This window comes from Homo sapiens, chromosome 8, assembly GCF_000001405.40.
Source record: "Homo sapiens chromosome 8, GRCh38.p14 Primary Assembly".
Lineage (NCBI taxonomy): Eukaryota > Metazoa > Chordata > Mammalia > Primates > Hominidae > Homo > Homo sapiens.
In genome coordinates this window covers 49,819,762-49,843,561 of record NC_000008.11, presented here as the reverse complement: position 1 = coordinate 49,843,561, position 23,800 = coordinate 49,819,762, and the positions used below count along the sequence as shown (strand labels likewise).

Here is a 23,800-nt window from a genome sequence, read left to right as displayed (position 1 = left end):
ATGTGAGAATCACTCAGCAAATGGTTGCTGCGGCATATTAATAGAGAATGGGTATTGATTCACCTAAAATTAGAACACACCTCAATATACTTCTATTGCCACAAGTCTTTGACTTTCAAGGCATTGTCAGCAGAGTCCAGAATCTGTATAATGTGAGAATGTAAGAGTGGAGGTGAAAATCTCCTATGTTCATCAGACCTATCAGAGGACAGAGTAGAGGCAACATTTTAGAAGAGTTTCTAAAGCTGTGGCTATCTGGGATAATTTCAATTTTCAGAAAAGTCTGCCCTGAGCTGCAGGGGCTCTTTACAATCTCTTCTTTATGACATTACTTTCTGTTTCAGGGAATATACAAGATAAGCTTGAAGCATCCCACAGTGACAGAAAGAAAAGAAAATGCTCAAACACATGCCTGCATGTGCACACACAAAATACACACACACACACACACACACACACACACACACACGATGGAACTATGCCAAAGAGACGCAGGAATCAACTGGAAGAGCTCCCAATGGACAAACCTGGGACAATCTGATCAAACAACATAAATAAAATACGTTTAGATCATAACTAAAACTATAACATAAAAGGCTGTGAGTACATAGTGATATAAATAATGATTGAATAAATACAGAAGTGGGGGAGAAGAGGCACATCTCCAGTGCAGAGGATTCAAAACAATTTATGTATATATTCTGCCCTCAAATAGGTGAAGCAGGATATTTCCCTGACCTCTTCACAGGACTCACAACAGGGGTGCCTCGTTTACCCAGCCCACAGCTTTCAACTCCTCTTGGGAGGGAGCATGTAAGCAAATGAGGTGGGAACTAGAGTGCATGCATGCTGGAACCAGCTGATTGCTTTGGTGAGGCAGGGGCAAACTCCACTCACTCAGACCCGCTGCATTCCACCCCTTGTAAGGGGGAGCACACACATGAACAGGTGCAGGAGCCAGGGCGAGAACTTCTGGGTGCTGGTAGGAGCAAACTCCGTGTGGGCCTTGCGGCAGCAACTTGGGGGGTGCCCATGATCCCTGAAGTGCCATAGGGCATGTTAAAGTACTCTTTTAGCTCGGCCATCTGAAGATGGCTTAAATATTAACAACTCAGTGGGCCTTCTACCTTTTCATGTGCAGCGAGCGGTTGCCTTCTGCCAGCAAGGGCAAAAGGCAAGTGTGACAGCCTTTTGCATCTGTACTCGTGGCTCCCAAGCTCTTGTCTGGCATCCAGGAGAAACGAGTTCACATGAATGAATTGAAAAATGGTAAATGCAGTGATTTTATTGCCAATAAAAGTGGCTCTCAGCAGCAAGGAGAGCTGAAAAGGGGACAGGACGGGAAGGTAATCTTCTCCTGAAGTCTGGTCGTCTCCAGCCACATTCTTCCTTGAAGTTACACCGTCAAGCTGTCCCTCTGAAATCAAGCTGCTTCTCTCTTACTGCCAGCTGTTTCTCCTCCCTGCCAGTTGAATATGGGGTTTTTATAGGCACAGGATGGGAGTGGTGAGACAGGGCCATGAGTGGTTTTGGAAAAGGCAACATTCAAGCAGGAAAACAGGGATGTCAGTTCTCACTTTGGGCCATGGTGTGAGGCTTTTCAGCTTGAAGGTGGGGCTTTGCCAGGGACCTGCCACTGTCTACCTAGAATTTCTCTGTCTCCTGTTGCTATCATAGGTATAGCATGACTTCCCACTCCTGAAGTGTAGGCTGCACATAGTGACCTCTGTCAAAGAATACAATATAGAAAAGGAGAGGAAAGAGTAACTTTGCAGCACAGAATCTTAGCAAACATTACCTCAGCCAGGTGGTCAAGGTCAGTATCAACAGAGATCAGTCATGTTGATGGTGTATACCCTTCGTAGGATGGATGAAAATCAAGCTTCACCTATTCAAAAACCCATAACCCATAACCCCAGTCTGAAATGGAAAAACAGATAAATCCTAACAGAGGAACACTTTACAAATTTCTTGATCAGTATTCCTCAAAACTGTCAAGGTCATTAAAAATAAGGGATATGTGAGAAAGTGGTGCCACCAAGAGGAACCTGGAAGTCACGGTAACTAAATCAAATGCAGAATCCTGGATGGGGCCCTAGAACAAGAAAAGACACTGAGTACAAACTAAGGAAATCTTAATAGATTATGGACTTTACTTAATAACAATGTATCAAAATTGATTTGAATGTTAGACATACAGAAACTTTCTGTATATCTAGTATAGATATACTAGGTATATCTCTATATACTAGATAGAGATACTAGATATACTAGATATATATCGAACCTTCTCAACTTTTCTATTAAAAAATCTTATAAAATTAAAAGTTTCTAAAAAGGATACTTAATGAATTCATTACTTATAAGGAAAAACACAGGAATCTTTTAACATATAAAAATTAGAATCGTATTAAACATAGGATATGAACAATTTTTAATTGAATTTGGTTTATCCACATGGTTGAATGTTATACAGCTATTATGAATAACTTTAAAATGCTTATGTAAAAAATAGAAAATAGTTATATTAAAATATCTAACAAAGCAATAAGAAAATTTTTTAAAAGTATGATTGTATCTGTATCAAATATCCAATATCCACCATAAGCCCAGCTCCTCCCTAAGTTAAAAAGAAAAACAAAAACCAGAGGATAGGAGACAAGCAGTATGTAGAAGCTATATCCCTACTAGTATATACATATTTAACTAAATATTTAATTATAGAAAAGTATAATTCTCTTTTTACTCATTTGATAAAAGTTACTGTGGTTTGTATTATTAAATTACTATGGTTTATATGATAAAAAATAATATATTTTCCCAGGGAAGAGCTACATATCACACTTTTAGAGTATTCTCGATTCCAACATTAAGAATCTCTAAAAATGAGAAGCCATATAATAAGTGGTTTGAGCTGAGTTGTAAAATTACACACGCCTAGGTTTACATATTATTTCCAACCCTTAATACCTACATGAACTTTGAAATATTATTCAATTTCTAAGTCTTGGTTTCTTCATACAAAAGGGAGAATAATTATATCTACCAAAGAATTTATTGCAGTGCTTGAATCATGGTTAATGCTAAGTAAATTCTATAAGAGATATTTCATTAGAATAAATTAAAAATACATATTAGTCTGAATTCTTCTGAAGAAAGATGAGAGAAGATGAAGAAATTCAAAGAAACTAATGGACAACATTAAGTTATACCAGTTTCCCTTGAATTCAGATCCCTGAAGGATCATAGGTAGACAGGAACATCATTCATGATAATTGGGAAAAGAGAGTTAATAGGAGTCCAAGGGTGAAAGACAAAATTCCAAGGAAACTCTGAAGGGAATGAATAAATCAATACAAACCTAGAACCAGCTCAGCAAAAAGCAGAGCACAGATCCCGAGCCTCAAGAACAGATAAGACTAGAGAAACGACGTCAATATTCAATGCAAATATTTAAAAATAATGATTGCATCATTTGCTTGAGAAAAAATTTGAAGATGTTCAGAAACGTGAGCTAGTGACACTGTTGTTTTATTAGCCTGGGGAGATATGTTTCCATGTAATTCATGTCTTCCTTACCGCAACACTACTGTACACACACATTTTTGTATAAGATGTAAATTTGTGAAGCATTAAAATAGCTGCTTCGAAAATCGACATTTGTGATCTCAGAAAAGAGAGCTCAAGAAGCGATGCAGTTCCCAAGATAACACAGGACCTGAGGGCTGCTCAGCTTCAGTTTGGCTAGGAAGACAGGACCATGACAAGAGGAAACATGTTGTGTTAGTGAGATGACAACTAGGATTTTGGGTAAGAATTTGGGTCTACAAGGAATATGGAATTGGGGTAACATAATCAAGGAATAATTTAATTAAAAACCTGTATAGTGAGAGTATGCCAATGAGGAGCTTCACTAGAAGTAGCAGAAAGAGACTCCATAAAGTTTCACTGAAGGAGATTGTAATTACTTTAACAGTTGTTTTTAATTCACACTTCTTTGCATATAGAAATCTTTAGAGTCCAACACCATTAAATGTACTGATTGGAACTTTTCATGTTTCAATTATAGTAAAAGCCATTGAGCAATGTTCATAGGGACTCTGTAGTCCAGCATTTATGCAAAAGTTATTAATTTTTAAAACTAGAATGACTTGGGATAAATATATTTGGTAGTTTCTGAAATCACTTAGGAGTATTTTGTATCATGAAAGTTAATAAATCTGGATAAAATATAAAAACTCAATCATTATTAATCAAGCAATTTTTTAAAAGTCTTTAATGACTGACTTTTCTTTTTTCAATGTTTCAAGCACATCGTCAATATACTTTTTTATTCTCATTTATTATATATTTCCTTTCATCCAAAATTGTCATTCTATGAATGTATTTATGAGCAAATTTGAAGGGATGATTGACCTCAATTGTAATCTTCCCTGTTAAGAATGAATTGCTATGGGTATCATGCTATGGAGAAAGTAGGAATTGATTCTGAATCTCACATACACACATGCCCACACACACATATGCCCTTCCCCCAACATACAAGCATGGAGCTGAAAATAAACACAGTTTAATTCAGATGAAAATCAACCACTTTCAAAATAGCATTAGAAACCAATCATTTGTACCTTGCTTTGTGAAACAAAGGCAAAAACAGAACCCATGCTGTGCATCCAATTACAATAGTAGGCGCACCATGACAAGCTTCACAGCCATTTTCAGATAAGGCCCAAATATGAGCGCAGAGTGAAATTAGCAAACAACAACACAAAGGAAGTAAAGAGAACAGAGAAGAATTGTGTGAGGAAAAGGAGAAGAGAGGCCCATCAGTAGCGAGGCAAGAGTTTGACAGACGGAAGGTGAGGAAGGCAGGTGAACCTGTCACTGATGCACTCAGAAAACAGGGGTCGCCCATCACTCCTTCACCTCCATACTGCCGCAGGTCACAATCAGCATTAAGGGGACACATAGGCTCTTACATTTTTCTTTTTTTTTTTTTTTTGAGACAAAGTCTCACTCTTTCACCCAGGCTGGAGTGCAGTGGCATGATCTTGGCTCACTGCAACCTCTGCCTCCCAGGTTCAAGCATCACCTGCCTCAGCCTCCCAAAGTGCTAGGATTACAGGTGTGAGCCACTGCGCCAAGCCGGCTCTTCAAGAATACATCCTTGTCCACTTCATGCACAGGTGAGAGTTCTGTGACTATTTTCTTGGATTATCTCAGAACGATGTCTATCCACTCAGCTTGCCAAACTTTTGAAGGGTAGCAGAATATGCCACTCAAAATATGCCACTTTGGCATGAGAATTATTTTGAGCTGAAGGCAACTGAGAAGCAGACAAACTCTTGGCCCTCCCCCATCTGTCTAAAAGCAAAAAATGAGCAAAGATACAAGCAGTCATTTCACAGAAGAGCAAATATAAGTGGCTCATAATTATATAAAGATACATATATCATTAATAATTATTACTGGAAGGCAGACCTTGAGTGTGAGCTGTCCAGGTCCCTGGAATGTTGAACAAAGAATTGGACAAAACACACAAACAGAGTAACAAAGGGACAAAACACAGGAATGAAACAGTGAAAGCAAGGATTTATAAAAGCAAGAAAGCACTCCACAGGGTGTGAGTGGGCCCAGGGCAAGCAGCTCAAGGGCCCAGTTACAAGGTTTCCTGGACTTTTAAGTACTCCATTTGAGGTTCCTATTGGTTACTCCTTATCTGGATGAAGGATTTGGTTCATGGCTAATTCAGGGCTGAGGTGAATTGGCGGCCTATGCAGATGAAAGGATGGTCCCTGCTTGGCCCACAGCCAATCCAGGGCACTCTCCCTTTCCATCTGAGACCTGGTGGAAGGGAGAGGGTTTAGGGAGAGTAGCCTGTGATCCTTTATTACTCAGCATGGAGAGATGGGGTTTCTCCCTTGGAGTAGCTTTAGGAAGTTTGTGTTAATTGGCCTTGGGGTCTCTGCTCCCCATATTCAAGTGTTTTTCTTTTGAACCACCTTTGGGAAGTTAGCAACAATTGACCTTAGACTTCCTGCTTCCCCCAGACCTTGGTGTTTTTCCTTGACTCAGCATGAATTGGCCTTAAGTTTCCTGCCTCCTGACCCTATTCTCCTGCCTCATAATCACAAAAATGTAAATTAACATCAAAATGAGATGCCATTGCATATGCACCTAATTGGTGAAATGACAAATCAGATTAAGCCAAATGTACATTAAAATGTGAGGCAATAGCAACTCAGCCATGGCTGATAAAAATATAAATCACAACAACTTTGGAAAAAAAAAGTTGGCATTACCTATTAAAATTAAAATGTGCAAATTTTTTTGGCCTAGCCATTTTGCTCTTAGATATCAGCTTAAAGAAACTTTTGCATATGTAGCATTAAGTGGCAAAATATAGGACTGTTCATGTTATAGAACCAAACTATGATCTACTCGCCCAGGACAGTAAAACCAGATATCCACACCAAGGTTTTATAGCAGGAGAAAGGAAAGTATTTATTTGCAAGGCACCAAGCAAAGGGACTCAGGCAACTATGGTTAAACTCTGACCTCCTCAATGGCTTTAAAGTAAGACTTTTTAAAGACAGGAGTAAATTTCAGGAAAGCAGAAATTAAAGGCAAAATCATAAATAAATACATGGAGGTTACACATTGCTTTTCACCTAAAAGGGCAGGATATCTTGAACCAGGATTCATAGGGAGGTTCAAAGATTTTCTGATTTGCAATTGGCTAAGGAAGAAGCTTTGTTTAAAAATTTTGGGCCAGCAGAAAAGACTGTTAGCTCTGGTTTCTGCATGTGACTCCCTCCAGGCACCTCAGGAGGAAATTTAGAACAAGGAATTGTGGTCAGAGTTCAGTCTTCAATTCCCATTATCTGAAGTGTACTGCCATGGAATCTGTTCAGTGGAGCTTGATGTTTCAAATAAACAAGTCAGGAACATTTTTTAAGATGTTACATTTAGTTTCTATAGAGAACCAAACATCTCCTGACTATAATTTCCTTGGCTATTGTTTTAAGCTACTATTACCTTCCTTCTTTCTTATTAAGTTGCTTATTTACATTTCAGGGCTAGCTAGGTGTCTGGAATTTCCCTTGAAGAAACTTAAATTTTCATTTATTTCCATGTTTAGGGGGTCCAAGAGGCCTCTAAAAGGGAGTCCCTCCTCTGTCTCGCTCATAGAACCATTTAAAAAAGAGGAAACTAGCTGAACATTTAATAGAAGTAAAATGTACACATATATTTTGGTGCATTTATATTATGGAATACTACATATTCTCACAAATTAATGAACTACATGTAGTTGTTGCAACTACATGCAACAACATCGACACATTTCAAAAACTTTGCAATAAGAGAAAGTAGCAACTGAAAGAAGATATTTAGAATACAAAAATTGTTAAAAATAATAAAAACTAAATGATATATTATATAGATGTACATATTTTGGAAATAAAACTATTTTTATAAAGAGATTGTCATTACACAAAATTTAGAAAGTTGATTAATCCTGAGGGAGCAGAAGAAGCTATGATTGTGGGGTACAACAGAGAATCCAAGATACTGATATTGTACTCTTTCTCAATCTAGGTAATAGGACAATGATGCTAATCTTGTTATTGAAACACCAGGGATTTGGTCTAGGTCCTGCTGCTTGCTGCACAGAAAGCCAATCACTGAGACAACAAGTATTGCCGAAGAAGAAGGCTTTCATTGAGTGCCGCAGCCAAGGAGATGGAACCTCAGTCTCAAGTTCATCTCCCTGACTTCTAATTAGAGGCTTATATAGCAGGGACAAAATGTAATAATGTGTAAACAAAACAGGAACTAGGAGGGGCAGGGAAGCAACATGATGAATGAGAAATTCAGAGCCCCATTGTCAGGATGTGGTAATCTGGTGAGTTTCAGTTTTTCCATATATTTTTTGAGAGCCTGAAAGTCCTTTTCTGAGGAAGGAACTCAGATAAAACAAATATAAGTTTCATGCCTTAAGACCAGAAAGGTCAATTTCTATGTTCATCCAAAAGAACGATCTATGGGATTACTGGGTTGGTTTCAGTTCCCCCTTTCTGTTTTGTTTATAAATTCCTTAATCATGAAAGGCTGTCAGTCTTTCTGGCTGTTTCATGATGAAGAGGGGTGCCACAGTCAGCTCCATACTATGGGTGACCATGTAGCCACCTAGGAATCAAAGTTTACTCTTATAGAGTTTTCTTCTGACATACAATATTCCTCTCTCCAGTCCCCCACTTCCAAAGACAAAACAGAGTAGGACAAATCTACCTGCAAAATATGTTTCGGTCCCATATACTTGGCCTGATTACCCACATGAAGTGCAGCAAGAATTATTGTTCACATAGGCTCTCCTAAATTGGCTTTGGCAGAACCTCTCATATGGCCATTTCAGTCAGAGCCCTGAGAAAATAACCATTACAAAAGAAAACTTGTGGTTATTAAATGTATGCAAACAGACACATTGCCATTAATTATGAATATTTGCAAATAGCTTACAAATTCTGGAGAAATTAGGCAGACCAAGAAATGACTCAAATTCTGTTTACAAAATATACTCTACTCAATATACATAAAGTATATTTCAATACTATAAGTAGCTCAAAAGAAAAAAACTCTCCAGACTCTGAAAAGCAAAACAAAAACAATCCACAATATTTCAAACCAAAGCACCATAAAAAATCATTTCTGTTCTCCATTAGTTCAGTCCATGCATGTCAACACCTTCGCTGCTTCATACTGGGTTAGTAATCTTTATGAACACAGCAGTCTTTCAATTAGTGCCCTGCAAATTTTCTCTCCAACCAAGGGCACAATCTCCAAAGTTATCAGAAACCTGCATTCAATAGTCCTTTTCATGAACTCCTCCAAAGAAGCAAGCCCTGGACTGTAGCTGATTATAAGTCACTTTTTCTGAGAAGGATCAAAGCAAAACATCAATTGTGGATGACAAAAGTCTTAACACAGCCATAGTTAAAGACACGGTTGACAAGGAAATATGGTTATTTATGTGGCATACAACAATTTAACATAATAATTACAACATACATTAAGAATTTTAGGAATGTCATACTATCCTGGACCACATATGAACAAAACATCTGTATAAATATAACCCAAAGGAAGGTAAACACCACCTCAGATTTGACAATATTTCCACTAACATAACAAATAAACCTAATAAGCCTAATATGTCTCTCTTGGACTTCAGGGAACCTCATATCAAAAAAGGTAGTTTAAGATCAAAAAGACTAAATTTAGAACCTGGAATTTTGTTGAAAGTCTGTGAAGTATCAAGGTTTTAAGAAATTTGATATGATAAAGTAGGATCACTGATTACCATAAGACAGTCATTCATTTATCCATAATGATAAAACAAAAACTTTTACCTTTTGATAGAGGAGACTCAGTTTCCCAAACAATAAGACCTAATACAGACACCATGAGGCCAGCTATATCTGTCTCTCCTTCCTCCATCTTCTCCCTGCAGTTTGCTCAGAAGGTAAACAAAATATTTCCTCTCAATATTACACAAACATTTTGTTCAAAAGAGAAAACGTTTGCCTTTACATGGTGTATAATAAATGTGAAAGTTGATTTTAATAAAACCTCATAAACAAATCTGCCTACTTTTAATCAGTTTGACCATAAGATTTCCATAAACTTTTTATAACATTTTCCAATTTTCTATTAAATACCAGATCAATGGTCCAAGAAAACCCTGTTATTCCAACACATGGGCCCAGATGCTGGCCTTGTATCAGAGTGCCTTTGATATTAATGTTTAATTTATAGAAAAACTCTGAAGTAATCTTATCCCGCAAAATCGGCGCTTATAATTGTAAGCACCCATCTCTTCCACAATAGTCTCTGGTCTTAGAGAATTACATAGTTTTAATTCCTGACCCTATGTCTCACAAAAGCAATACATTTTGATTGTCACCTTCTCCCTAGTCTAGTGATGATGCTCAACTGGTGTCAATGCTCAAAATGTAGCAGGGATTGGTGCTTTCTTTAGACTCAAAAGTCAAAGCCCTGTAACTTAACAGCACAGGCCTTAGTTAATAGGATATTTATGCTGCAGAAAAATCCTATCATTTTCTCTAACATGTTACAAATTAAAACACTGTGATTTGGTGTTTGGGAATTACTTCCTGCAGTACTTCAAACCATTGTATTAAAGTAGTTAGGTATTCTTTGCATATATCTAATTGCCAGCATTCTAGTAACAGAATTATGACCAAACACATCAAAAATGTCATAGGTCCTATGCCAAACTTACCAGAGTAAGACAACTAACTTTTTTCTCCATCATTAAAAAATGATAAATGCAAATATCAGATTTGGAAATTCAATGAGAAATACTCTCCTCTCACTTAAATACTATATGACAAAACAAGAACAAAGTAAGAATAAGCAAATGATAATTTCCTTTCAGCTATTTTTAAAGAGCATCACCACGTATTTCCAAGATTGCTTTCTAGATATAGTACCGACAACTGATTATGTTACCGGTGGAGGGTGTACATATTCTTGGTATTTTTAACAAAGAATTGGACAAAAAGCACAAAGCAAGGAAATAATGAAGCAACAAAAGCAGAGCTTTATTGAAAATGAAAGTACATTCCACATGGGGGGAGCAGGCCCAAGCAAGCAGCTCAAAGGCTCTGTTACAAAATTGTCTTGGGTTTAAATATCCTCTAGATGTTTCCCATTGGTTACTTGGTGTATGCCCTATGGAAATGAAGAGGCTGAAGTAAAGTTATAAAGTCATTTACTTGATGTACACCCTGTGTACAAATGAAGAGGATATTTCCTGTTACAGCTGAAGTAGAGCTACAAAGTTATTTACTTGATCATAGGAAGCTGGAGTTTTTTTATTTGATTTAGTTCTAGGAAGTCCTTAGGTTCCCTGCCCCCAGACCCTGTTCTCCTACCTCAATTAGGTAACTCTAATCACCAAAATCTTCAAACCAGTGCGACAGCTGCAAATATTTTAAGTACAACATGAAGGCCCATCAGTGATAAATGGCTTGAGATAAAAAATCACTAGAAAGTCTCACCCTTTTTTATATTACTACTTAATCCAAGTGAGTGTCACTTTAAATTAGTTTTAAAGAAATTCTAATCAATATAATTTCCTTAAGGACAAAGCCAATCTTTACTGAACATTAAAACTGTACTCATTTCACAATTTTTTTCCTCAAAGGAAAGATCTGAAACCAATCCAAAGTGTTGATTCAATTGAGTCACCCTGGAAACAAACACCACTCAAATATTTTTGCACTCATCCACCTCTCCAAACAACAAAACATATAATGTACTATTTCTGTTCAGAATTTATAAAAATAGGTCTTTTACTTATTTAGCTGTCTAGATCATCAGAAGCAAGCAAAACCAAAGAAATTCCAAGTGGCTGGTGTGCTCCATCAATTCCTGCAGGCCCCACCAAAGGCAACCTAGGAATTCCAGATAAATAGAACAGATGATGACTTGCTAGAAATGCATAGGAAACAAAATATTCACAGAACTAAACAAAAGCCTTTGACTGGAAGGTAAAAAATGTCTATAGTTTTATATATGATTATATATATGCATACACAAGTAAAACCCAAAGGAGAAGAAACAGCAAAACAAATGAAAATTAGAAGCAAAAACAAATAAACAGGAAACCAGTCCTAAGTTTATCAGTTTACCTTAGAGGTTAAAGTGTTACCTAGAGTCTACAAACCCCATATAATGAATATTTTATTCCTGATACACAATTCAATATCCTTAAGTCCACCAATATCACCATACATCCTGTGCAATCAAGAAATTTGCTCTAGGCACATGACCAGTAAGGACTCTAGTGCCAGCACTATCCATGCAAAATAGCATACATAGTGTGAAGCAATGCAAACATGTACACTAAATCCAGCTTCATTCTTAACTATATAAAAAGAAAAATTGCCACCAGCCTGGCCAATATGGCAAAACTCCATCTCTACTAAAAAAAATTAGCCGGGCATGGTGGTGTGTGCCTGTAATTCCAGCAACTCAGGAGGCTGAGACAAGAGAATTGCTTGAACCTGGGAGGCGGAGGTTGCAGTGAGCCAAGATTGAGCCACTGCACTCCAGCCTAGGTGAAAGAGGAAGACCCTGTCTCCAAAAATAGATAAATAAATAAATAAATAAATATTGGCAAACTGCCAATGCATTTCTTTACAATATTTCTTATTTTGCTTTAATCAAGACTAAGAGCTTTAACTATGAAAATGTTAATGAGACAAATTTCTCCAATTCTCTATCAGATTTTAAAGAATATTTTATTATCTAAACATTATCAACTTTTTATTCTCTCTGTATGTGAAAAAGAAGAGGAAAAACTACATATGACTTATACAGACCATCCACAACATCCTGGGGTTTCCATTCAGCCCCAGATTTTCTCCTTCCCCTTCTCCTTCTCCTTCTCCTTCTCCTCCTCCTGCACATGCCCTCCCCTTCTTCCTCCTCCTCCATCTCCTCCTTCTACTTCTCCTTCTCCTTCCTTCTTTCTTCTTCCCATTTTACTTCAGGACAAAAAATGTACCATACAAGATCCTTCCTCAAAATCATTACCTTTTCTTTATAACCTTCCTTACCAAAAACAAATAATGATATATATATATATGTATATATAACTTTTTCCACATCTTTCTTCCCTACTTACTGGTTCTTTACTACATTCTTTTATAAATAACCATTTTAAATCTGTAATTTGAACTAACTTTTAAATAATTTCTGAATTAGAGAAAAGTATTCTTTTTCTCACTAACAACACAAACTTTTTGGAACATTTTGTATACAGAATTATGTATTGACTAGAATTCTTATCCTTAGTAACCTAAAACTTTAGTGAAACCCTAAAAAGCAAGAAATCCTAAACTATCAGATAAAAGCATTTTATAGATAAGAACAATTCCATAATTTTTATAAACATTTCTCCATATCATAACCCTTTCTTAGTTGGAAATGACCCAGATATTTAATGAACATAAAAAATAATTTTAATATTTTAAGTTACTCAAAAAGTTGACCTAAAACATTTATCTCATTTACATATACTCAATTCTTTCATTTTTAACAATTTATCTACATTACTCCTATAAACTGAGATATTAGACACTATAAAGCTAGTTATATCCTTGTTAACCACTTTTAAAATAACCATTTTTTAATAGCCAGCAAACATCAGATGCTCACCTAAAGAACAGCTTCAAAGTTAAACATATAGGTAATTTTTGCCAATAACTCAGAAAATTCAGCTAACAACATTAAATTAGTCTCATTTTTCAAAGAAGGCACACAAACCAAGATCATTTTATTTTGGCTGGGTAAATAGCTTTATAACCATCTATGCCAAACACAGACATCTCAAAATATCTGTCAAAGACAGATATAAAATCCAGACAAAAATGTATGCTGACAATTCTGAAGACATTTTATTTTTATTTTACCAATAATTTTAAAGCCAGCTTGTTTAGTAATGATTTACTTAAGTCAGGTAAACTTGAAAATTGCTTGGATTTATTTACTTAATTTATGAGCACTTTTTAATTTATAAGCCAATTTGGTAGACACAGTATATAACTTAATAAATGTACATACAAATAAACACATCTAGACATTTATACATACACACACACACACACACACACACACACACACACACAGATCCACTAGCTTTTACCTTGGAACGCTAGCCATGAGATAGCAATACAAACTCACTGGTTTTACATGGTTACACTTTGTCCCAATAGATAAATATGTGCTATATATTTATCATATTTTGAATTTTTTGCTAGTGAAATTAAATTTCTCCATATATTTACCAGCAATTGAATTTATTATTCTATAAATTAGCTCTTCATAAATTTCACTCAATTTCCACTATAGTCCTCAACTTTTCTTACTGGTTTTTTAAAATGCTCATTCTTGAAAAAGCTAGTAATTTTTATCTTATGATATTCAACTATTTTTACAGTTTTTCATTTAGTCTTGACTTTACTTATGCTCTATTTGTAATACATAGCCTTTTAAATTATTATGTACTTAATTCTGTTTATCCTTTTTTTTCATTTTCACTTTAGGTATCATATAGAAAAAACATCCCCTCCTTAAATGTACTCTTTCGTATTTTATGGTTTAATTTTTATATATAAATCTTTATTCCAGTTGGAAATCATTTTGGTGACATGAGACAATACTCTAACTATATGTTTCTAAATATTTAACCAATTATATATTAACATTTTATGAATAATTTATTTCTTCAGTTAACAGATGCAACAGTTTTATCATGTACTAATAATAGAAAAATATGTAAAATTAATTTTAATCAAATTCATTCTTGTATATGGTTGAAAATCAAAGAGTGTGGAAAATTCTGTAAGGCATAAAACAGTTCTCTACCTCTCCATCCCCTGCCTGCTTCTCACAAATTACAGCCATGGCATCTTAGAGATGCAATATTGGTCACATGAAGGAAATGGAAAACATAAGAACAAATAAACTAACTCACCAGGGAGACAGTAAAATTTTGTGGCCAAATGGTAGCGAAACTTATGTTTGAAAACAAAATTATATTTTTCTAGTAAAAACTGAACTGACAATTCGATCTTTAGTGAAAACACAGAGCATACCATTTCTTCCATAATGTAGAAGTCTTATCACTACGATTTTGTAAAGCATCCTACATTCTAGGGTATCTTCACCTAAACAGGAAATATCATTTCATCCCAGGATAGGGCTGTTCATATTCCTATGCCAAATGTATCTTCTGGTCACGTTATAATCCAGTTCATCCACTCCACTCCACTTCATTATTCATACTCAATAACATCCTCACATTGTATTGATTGATGTATAAGAAAGTCCTGAGTTTGGAAAATTTGGATCTGAAGTAGAGGAGAAAGAGACTATGAAGGCAGTTTGTTTTATTTCCCCAACAATAAAGTTCCCTTGTAGAAAACGTAAAAAGTTGAGAGCATGATATTTAAAATAATTCCACATTTTATTGCTTTGGAAAGCAGAGCTATCTTTAGCTACCAAGGAGACTAAGGAAACACAATGTGTCAAAACACTATGGAGACAAAGAAATAAGGAAGAAATTATCAGAATACGAAAGTTCCCTTTGCTGCTAAGAAGTTCTTTTAACATGACAGGAAAGGGGATCCTTTGGAATAGTAGCATGCTTCTTAGAACATTACAAATACTCTGCTCTTAAAAAAGTGTGATTTAGTAGGTTCAAAACACAGCAAATCTTACGCATCCTGATTCCACTTCAGATATGAAACAGAGGAAACAACAGAAATTGTCCAGGGATCTATACAAGTGCTAGATATTTTCTTTTTCAAATTTATCAAGGGACTTAAAAACTTTTTGAATATATCTGAAATAATAAATACCCATAGTTTCCCATTGTTATACATATATATTTGGATCAGTCCTATACTAAATGATAATTACTACATTTTCTCTGGGCGGAAAAACAATGTACTCATTCAAGAAAAATATCTGCGGCCGGGCACAGTGGCTCACGCCTGTAATCCCAGCACTTTGGGAGGCCGAGGCGGGAGGATCACGAGGTCAGGAGATCGAGACCATCCTGGCTAACATGGTGAAACCCCGTCTCTACTAAAAATACAAAAAATTAGCCGGGCATGGTAGCGGGCGCCTGTAGTCACAGCTACTCGGGAGGCTGAAGCAGAAGAATGGCGTGAATCCGGGAAGTGGAGCTTGCAGTGACCCGAGAGCGCACCACTGCACTCCAGCTCGGGGGTCAGAGCGAGACTCCGTCTCAAAAAAAAAAAAAAAGATAGCTGCACAATTTATGAAATATTTTAATATGTGAAACATAAAAATTCAAAATTGAAAAATAAAATTATTGTTAATAAGTTAGTTGTCTGGTGTTATACTAGGAGAATGAGTAGTCCTTGCTAATTACAGAGAACTCAGGATCATTTATAATTAGATACATATATTTTTACATTGGGTATCTTGCTAGGATAGACATTATGATTTAAGGGACCCAGTCAAATTATAAAAATTTTTAACATTTGCAATAATTTCAGAACTAATTGAGTTATTGAACCATTCCTTTGTTCGTCTTGTTGTTTATTTGCTTGTTTCAGTTTAAGGCTTATTAGAAAGAAATAAAGGAAGGAAGGAAAAGAAAAAGAAACAGGAGGGAATAGACAAAGGACAGAAAATATTAAGGAGGTCAAGCAGCGTAGGAAAGACGACTCCAACAACTGAAACCAGGGATAGTAAGAATAGGACCCCTGGGGATACTGAATAGTGGGCAAGGGCCCTTCTTGCCCTGTACTACCCGAAGATGTTGCATCACTGCGAACATCTAGTCTTGGTACAAGCTCTCAAAAAGAGCTTGGCACTGGCTGACTGAGCTGGTCCCTTCCTCTTACAGGAAAAGAGCATGAGAGTAAGATACTTTCTTTATAGCTTTCACTTTCTTGAAAATATATCTGTGCATACTGCATAGAGTTTGTTCTGCTGCAGTTGGAATTAGCTCATTAGGGATGAGTAAATACAGAAGTGGTATCAACAAAAAGGAAAAGAGTAAAGACTCATATTTTTTCAGACAATGCTAACATTTTGAAGTGGAAAGGGGAAAACTGTCACACAATGAAGAAAAAACTTTACCAATATACGAAGATCAGTTTGTTTTTCCTGGCTGAAGATTTTGAAACAGACCCTGATAAGCCTGGGAAGTACCTTCCTTTGGTGTAATAACTGATTTAGTGTCTTCGGAAACATCTACATTTTTCACAGTCAAGTTATACAGAGAAGTGACAAGTGAAGATTAAGACCCTGCAAATACATTACACTGTGTATTAATAATAATGGTTAATGAATACGGCTCAGCATAACTTACAATTTTAAGTTTGATAAAATGGTTTCAGTTAATAGAGAATTTCTCCAAAGCCTATATCCCAAAGGAGAAAACACAAGCCCCAAAAAGGTGTTGAAAATGTTGAAAAATGATAATTCTGGGTACAGTTGTCTTTGTCTATATAACGGTGCTAGTATTATTCAAATTATTATTGTTTCACTGGAACTCCAAAGGGATTTTCACTGTTTTTATCCAACCCTAGTTTTCTCACAAACCTTATTATTTTTAGTGTGTGATTTTTGTAAAAATTTTTTGGCATTTTTTAGGAATGTATATAAGGCTTTAAAGTAGAAACTTCTACATCTTTATTTGACAAGAGAAGAAGGCTGACTCTCAGCACTGTGAACAAGAAAGGGAAAATTCTGAATATTAAAATGAAAACGGAGGCTGATTTTCCCAAGGGAGTAAATTAGTTACCAAATTGTATCCAAAAAACTTGACCATACCTACCTCTTTTTATTTTAGCTACTTAGTCACTTATTTTAGCTATTTTAGCTTATTTTAGCTATTTAGCTTTTTAGCTTATTTAGCTATTTAGCTATTTAGCTAAATAGCTATTTAGCTTATTTTAGCTATTTAGTCACTGCTAGTGACTGATGGTAGGAATAAGCTGGGTTTCTCTGGGGATGGGAAGGCATTCCAGTTCAGATCAGAACTTTTAAAGAAATTCTAAAAGAGGACCTTCACCAGGAAAAAAATATCTTGAAGCTTTAATATTTATTTTACTGGTTTGTAAGACAATATTTTTATTTCCAGTCTGGCAAGGAGAGACGATTGCTCAAGTATCATTATTAGTCCAAACTTTTCTTAAAACAGGTAAGTTGGAGTTTTAAAAATTTATGTCTTCAACATATGAGATTGACATTTATTTAGTAGAGATTGATTAAAAATAAATTGTATATTACTTAGAAAAGAGAAGTATGGTTGATCACCTGTATGCTTGCATGTAGACAAGTAGTGTTTGTGGAACAAGGAGGGTATGGGTGTGTGGATGGTTGTATTAACTGTGGATTATAATGACCAAAAGATATTAATCAATGGAAAGTATTTAAATTGTTCCCAAACTTTATACCATAGTAACTAAATTCCCCCAAAGGATGATTTTTTTTCTATACATACAGCAATACTTTTAACTTATTCATGCTTAACATGTATTTTCTGTTATAATTTATTGTAACCCAGTCATGCATAATTCATATATGACTCTCTGCTCCTTATTATTTGGCAATTGGGCAAGTCAGGGTATAGCAAAATGAATGATGGCACACGGCTTTGAATTTCAGTTTGGAGTGGAAACTTACTGATTATGTCAATTGTCGACTGAAAATTCTATATCCTATTTAAAATAGATGAAGGCAAAATAAAGACATTTTCAGATGAACAAGGTAGGAAAAATTTTAAGAGCAGACATGAGTTATAAAAAAAGGTTAAAGGAAGTTCATTACACTGAAGAAAATGATACCAAATGGGTATTTTAATTTAAAAAAAGAATGAAGAGTGCTGAAAATGGACATATATCAGTAAATGCATTTTACACATTTCCAAAGATTTCTTTAAAAGATAAATAATTGAAGGACCAATTAGTTATCATATTGTGGTATTAATAAAATATATTGAAGTAAAGTAGATAAAAATAATAATAAGAATGAAGAGAGGAGAGAAGAAAATACAGTTTTTTAAGGCTCTCACATGTGAAGTGGCATAACATGATTTGACAGTTACTGTGATAAGTTACAGATTCATATTATAAACCCTAGAACAACCAGTAATAAACCAGATACGTTCACTCAGTAATTTGAAGTGGAGCTCAAATGCAATACTAAAAGTACTTATTTTATCAAAAAGGGTACTAAAAGAAAAAAAAGAAAAAAGTATAAATGATGCAAATAGAAAACAAATTACAAATGGGAAACTTAAACAGCATAAACAAGTATATGTAAACATTCTAAAAACTACAATTAGAAAGATAGAGATTATCATACTCAACTTCAAAGAATTAAAACCAAAATATATCTTATCTGAGGAAATGCTATTTCAACATGACAGAAATAGTTTAAAACTGAAAGCATACAAAGGACATACCATGAAAACACTAACCATAAGAAAGCTGAAGCTACACATTAACATCCATAAAAGCAAACTTCAAAAGAAGATATAAAGAAAATAAGGGGATATTTTATAATGATGAAAGGAAGAGTTAATTAAGAAAATATAACAATCATATACATGGGATATCTATCAAGAGAAACTTGAAAAAAGCAAAAACTCCCAAAGCTGAAAGAAGAAATAGATATCACTACAATTTTAGTTGAAGATTTCAAAACTTCTCTCTCAGTAATTGATGAAATAAGCAGACAGAAAATAAGAAAGACTACAGAAAACTAGAACAATATAACTCAAGCTAATTGACATTGATAGTGCACTCCACTCCAAAGAAAGAGTTTATATTCTTTTTAACTACAGTGAAAGATTACCAGCATAGATGATATATTGGGCCATGAAACACTCTTGTTACTTAATAGAATTATAATCAAACAGAATGTATTTTCTGAAAAGTGAGTTAAATTATAAATTAGTAACAGTAACAGATCTGAAAATCCTCTCATATTTGGAAATCAAACAACATATTGCTAAACAAATACATGTACATGCATCATGGGTCACAGATGAAATGACAGGGAAACCTGTCATTTGAACAAAATAACAATGAAAACAACATAATACATAAATAGATTGGGGTGTGGCTAAATAGTGCTTAGACAAAAGTTTAGATTGTTAAATATTTATTATAAAAAAGAAAAGTGTCCCAAACCAGTTGAAAGATCTATTGCATCATCTAAAGAACTAAGATATGAAAGAGTAATCCAAAGTAAGTAGGAGCAAAACCACGATTCAAATAGAAGCTGAAATCAATGAAATTTAAAATAACAAACTGTAGAGGAAATCAATAAAGTCAATATAATAAAATGCAATCCTTTGATGAAAAGATAGTTGAAAGTGATGTAACTAGTAGTTAAGTTGATTTAAAAGACAGGAGTCAATTTATCTCCATCATGAATGAAAGACAATGTTACTACAGATTCAATAAAAATGACAACATAATAAGGCTAAAAATTATTAAAAATATGAAGCCTGAATATGCACTCACACACTTGCACACACACACATTTCACACATGCACAAAAACAAAAGCCCAGGCACAGATGTTCCTAATGGCGGAGTCTATCAAACACTCTAAGAACACATCATCAATCCACCACAGTGGTTTTAGAATGTAGTGAAAAGAATACTTCTCAAGTGACTTTTGAAACCAGTATCACCCTCAATTTCCCTGTGTAGACTCATAACTGTAAAGGTAGTCTGTTAAGCCAATGTCCTGGAAACTCATTGTCCTGGAAACACACTGTCCTGGAAACTTTGGTAAAGATTTTTTTCTTTGAAGTTAATACATTTATTTTACTTTGACAGAATACCAATCATTCTTAAAATTGCATACACTGCAGGGAGTCCTAGCAGGCCATCTTTGGGAAAATAAAGTAAGACTGAATCATCTTTTAGCTTCTCTTGAAAAATAAAGGCACTGACTCTTACATGTAATTTCACTTTCTTTTTTTAAGGCTTCAATTGGGAAGAATAGAGCAGACATAAACCTTGTTTAAGGGTTTTAAAAAAACGTACCTCTGTATTTGCTTTATCCTGATGTAGCTTAGCTCCTTCTTGATGGAGTTGTAGAATGCTTTGGTCTGAAATAAGATGAGCTGAGGTGCTCTATTGTGCTCATTCTATAGTGAACATCCATGAATTTTCTTGTGCTTGCTTTCAAACAATTTCAAGGTGATTAGATTTTCTAGTGTTATGTACTGCAGAGAAAACAGATAGACGGATTACATTTTTTCAGCTTAGCAATGAGCACAATTGTCACTCTTTTCAGTAGGTATTAATATCCTTCATGGGAAACCCATGGAACTTATATACAAAAGGAGCAGAAACATTCAAAGAAAAGAGTGAATGTAATTTATTAACAATTCCACCAACGCGCAAGCTTATCCTTTGCACAAATATTTAACTTCTGCTTGTTATATAATATGTATGATGAGAAAATGGTAGAGTGATAAAATCAGATGGGCTTCAGGGACAAACTGAATACTTTTCAAGTAGCTTATACCAACACTCTGTGTGTGCTCCAAGGAATTCTGCTTAATGCTGTCTTTTTGCAGTTCCCTACTATCCCTTATTTACCTTTTTTATCACATGGAATTGAAAGAAAATCCCACTTGCTTACTTTTCTTCTCCCCCTTCTATCCCCCAAAAATGTAATCTCCTCAAGGGCACGAACTCCTTGGCACATCCGTAGAGTTCAGTCTTTAGGTGAGTTCTAGGAAACAGACCCTGCCTCCTGAAAATCTATCCACCTTAACTGCAAACGGATGGATAGAACACAGGCGGAAATCAGAAATGTTGATCTGGTTATGGTTTATATGACAGTAACACTAATTTAAGATGATTTATCTACATAAAAAGAATTCACTAGATCATGGAAATTCAAACTATCATTAGACATATTTTAATAATATTCAATAAGATTCAAGCAGTAGTTACTACATGATTATCAAGATTTTATTATCAAGCCCTCTAAATGTTAACTTAATTGACAGTAATTGGATTGAAATCAACAGTAAAAAAAACAATAATGTTGACAGTTATGCGCCAGACCCTTTTGGAGCACAACCTTAGTGCTCTGCAGGGATGGAGACGGTTATCTCCATTTGCTGGTGAAGGAGAACCAAAAAAGGCAAGACTGGCAGATTTTTCAGTGTCACATACTGAGTAAGAGCTAATGGGGAGATTCTGATGACACTGCCCATGTTCTTTCCAAATCATTCATTAAAAAAAAAAAAAAAGAAAAGAAATAGAAACAAACCTGCTCTGAAACATGTTTTAAGTTAAAAAAAGGAAAATTTTTAAAATAAGAGAATGGAACCTGGCAAAGAGAACACAAATGTATTTGTTTATGTTATTATTAGATTAGTGAATAATATCATACTTTAAATGACATGTCAGTTAGAAAAATCACAACAATATTAAACTGTGTAAAACTCTTAGCTAGAAACTAATTTTAACTGAAAGAAATAGCTTTAGCTTATTTGTGTCGATATATGTTTCAACAGAGTTTGAGGGAAGACATTGATGTGGTACAAATACGATTCTGAATTCTGTCAGGAGCCTCTTAATGGGATTTCTGAAAGAGTGACTATGTGTTAGCTACCTAATAACACTGAAAAAAATAATTTTATAGATATATATTTGTAAAAAAAAGTGATTATTGTTGTGTAAGTAATTACAAAAATCTCAAAATAAATATGGTTAAAGCCAGATATATAAAATTAGTAACTCTAAATTGAGGTATAGTAAATAATGGGTAATTAGCACTTCCTAAAGGTTTTTCATAAGTTACCTGATTAAATTATTATAATAATCTTATGAGATAAGTAATATTTTATTTCAATTTTAGAAATGAAGGAACTGAGGCAGTAAAATAAACAGAACCTTGCCTTGGGCCTCCCAAATCCTCCCAGTCCCACCTTTTCCTCGTGAGCCTCAGATTCCTGTGCAGAGCTGCCTCACCAATATGTTGTGCCATTTCCTATTCCTGGAAAAGCCCTGGAGACTGCAAGTAACGTACTTGTTTTGTTAGTTGTACAGTATATGTGATTGCTAGAAGCAAAGATATCTTCTAAAAAGTTAATTGGTTGTACAGGGTAATGGATGTATATTTCCTCTATGATACTTATATTCAAGATGTCTCCCTTCCTCCCTCCGTCTCCCTTCCCTTCCCTTCCCTCCCCTCCTCTCCCCTTCCATCCCCTTCCCTCCCCTCTCCTTCCCTCCCCTTCCCTTCTCCTTTTCTCCCTCTCTCTCTTTCTTTCCTTTTTTCCTGTCCTTGAAACATTACCGACTGCACACCTTCTCTGTGTTAAACGCACTAGGTGCACAGAAGAGAGAAAGCAAAACAAGATCCTTGCTATCAAGTGCTTGTGTGCTATCACCGGTGCAAAGACAGTAAATAAGTAAACAAGCAAGCAAAGAAGTCAGTGCAGATTGTGATCACAAATGAAGCACTAGCATGAAGAGATAGCAATGTCTGATGGTCAGCATGGGTGGAGTGGGGAGGTTAATTAGAGAGAATGAGCAGGAAAGGTCTCTGAGAAGGAGCCACTGGAGAAGAACCAGATAAATCCCCAGTGAAAGGATGTTCCAATGGAAAAAAAACATACCAGTGAGAGTCCTGTGCTTGGAAGAAGTAGCCATATGTGAGGAACACAGATAAAGACCGTGGCATGGGGAAGATAGTGAAGGGATGGAAAAAATGGATGGATGAATTTAGAGAGGAAAAAAAAGACCAGATTGTTGGGGGGGTGATTCATCCTGATCATAATAAGGAGTTCTCTTTTGCACTTGCTTCATTTGATTGGCTCATTAAATACTCACATAAAAATACCCAGTGTGCTATGGGTGCTGAGTCTAAATCCGGAGACAGGGGCCAGCTTGCACTTGGGTGCCTAATGCAAATGTAGGGTCATCTGACAAGGCTTACCCAATTAGCATCTCTGACAAAGGTATGTGCATGCTGAACAAATTACCCAGGTGCTCCTTATGCAATTAGAGTTTAGAAACATGAGTTTAGAGGTTAGAGTCAAAAACATGGAAATAGTTGAACTTCTCCAAGAAGAGAATGACTACAGAGAAAAGGGACCAGAGATATCATACCACTTCTCCTACGTGGGGAGGTATAGGTGTGGCATCACAGCACACAGAATTTGGGACCAGAGGAAGATGGCTGCA

At 35.4% G+C, this 23,800-nt stretch overlaps 2 annotated features.

Annotated features, from left to right (window-relative positions):
• Positions 470-1,018: an enhancer, noted in NCBI's record as "H3K4me1 hESC enhancer chr8:50755104-50755652 (GRCh37/hg19 assembly coordinates)". NCBI's record gives its function as "activates a minimal SCP1, AML or CMV promoter by ChIP-STARR-seq in naive H9 embryonic stem cells {active_cell/tissue: H9 hESC(naive)}" and the evidence as "EXISTENCE:reporter gene assay evidence [ECO:0000049][PMID:30033119]".
• Positions 1,019-1,568: an enhancer, noted in NCBI's record as "H3K4me1 hESC enhancer chr8:50754554-50755103 (GRCh37/hg19 assembly coordinates)". NCBI's record gives its function as "activates a minimal SCP1, AML or CMV promoter by ChIP-STARR-seq in naive H9 embryonic stem cells {active_cell/tissue: H9 hESC(naive)}" and the evidence as "EXISTENCE:reporter gene assay evidence [ECO:0000049][PMID:30033119]".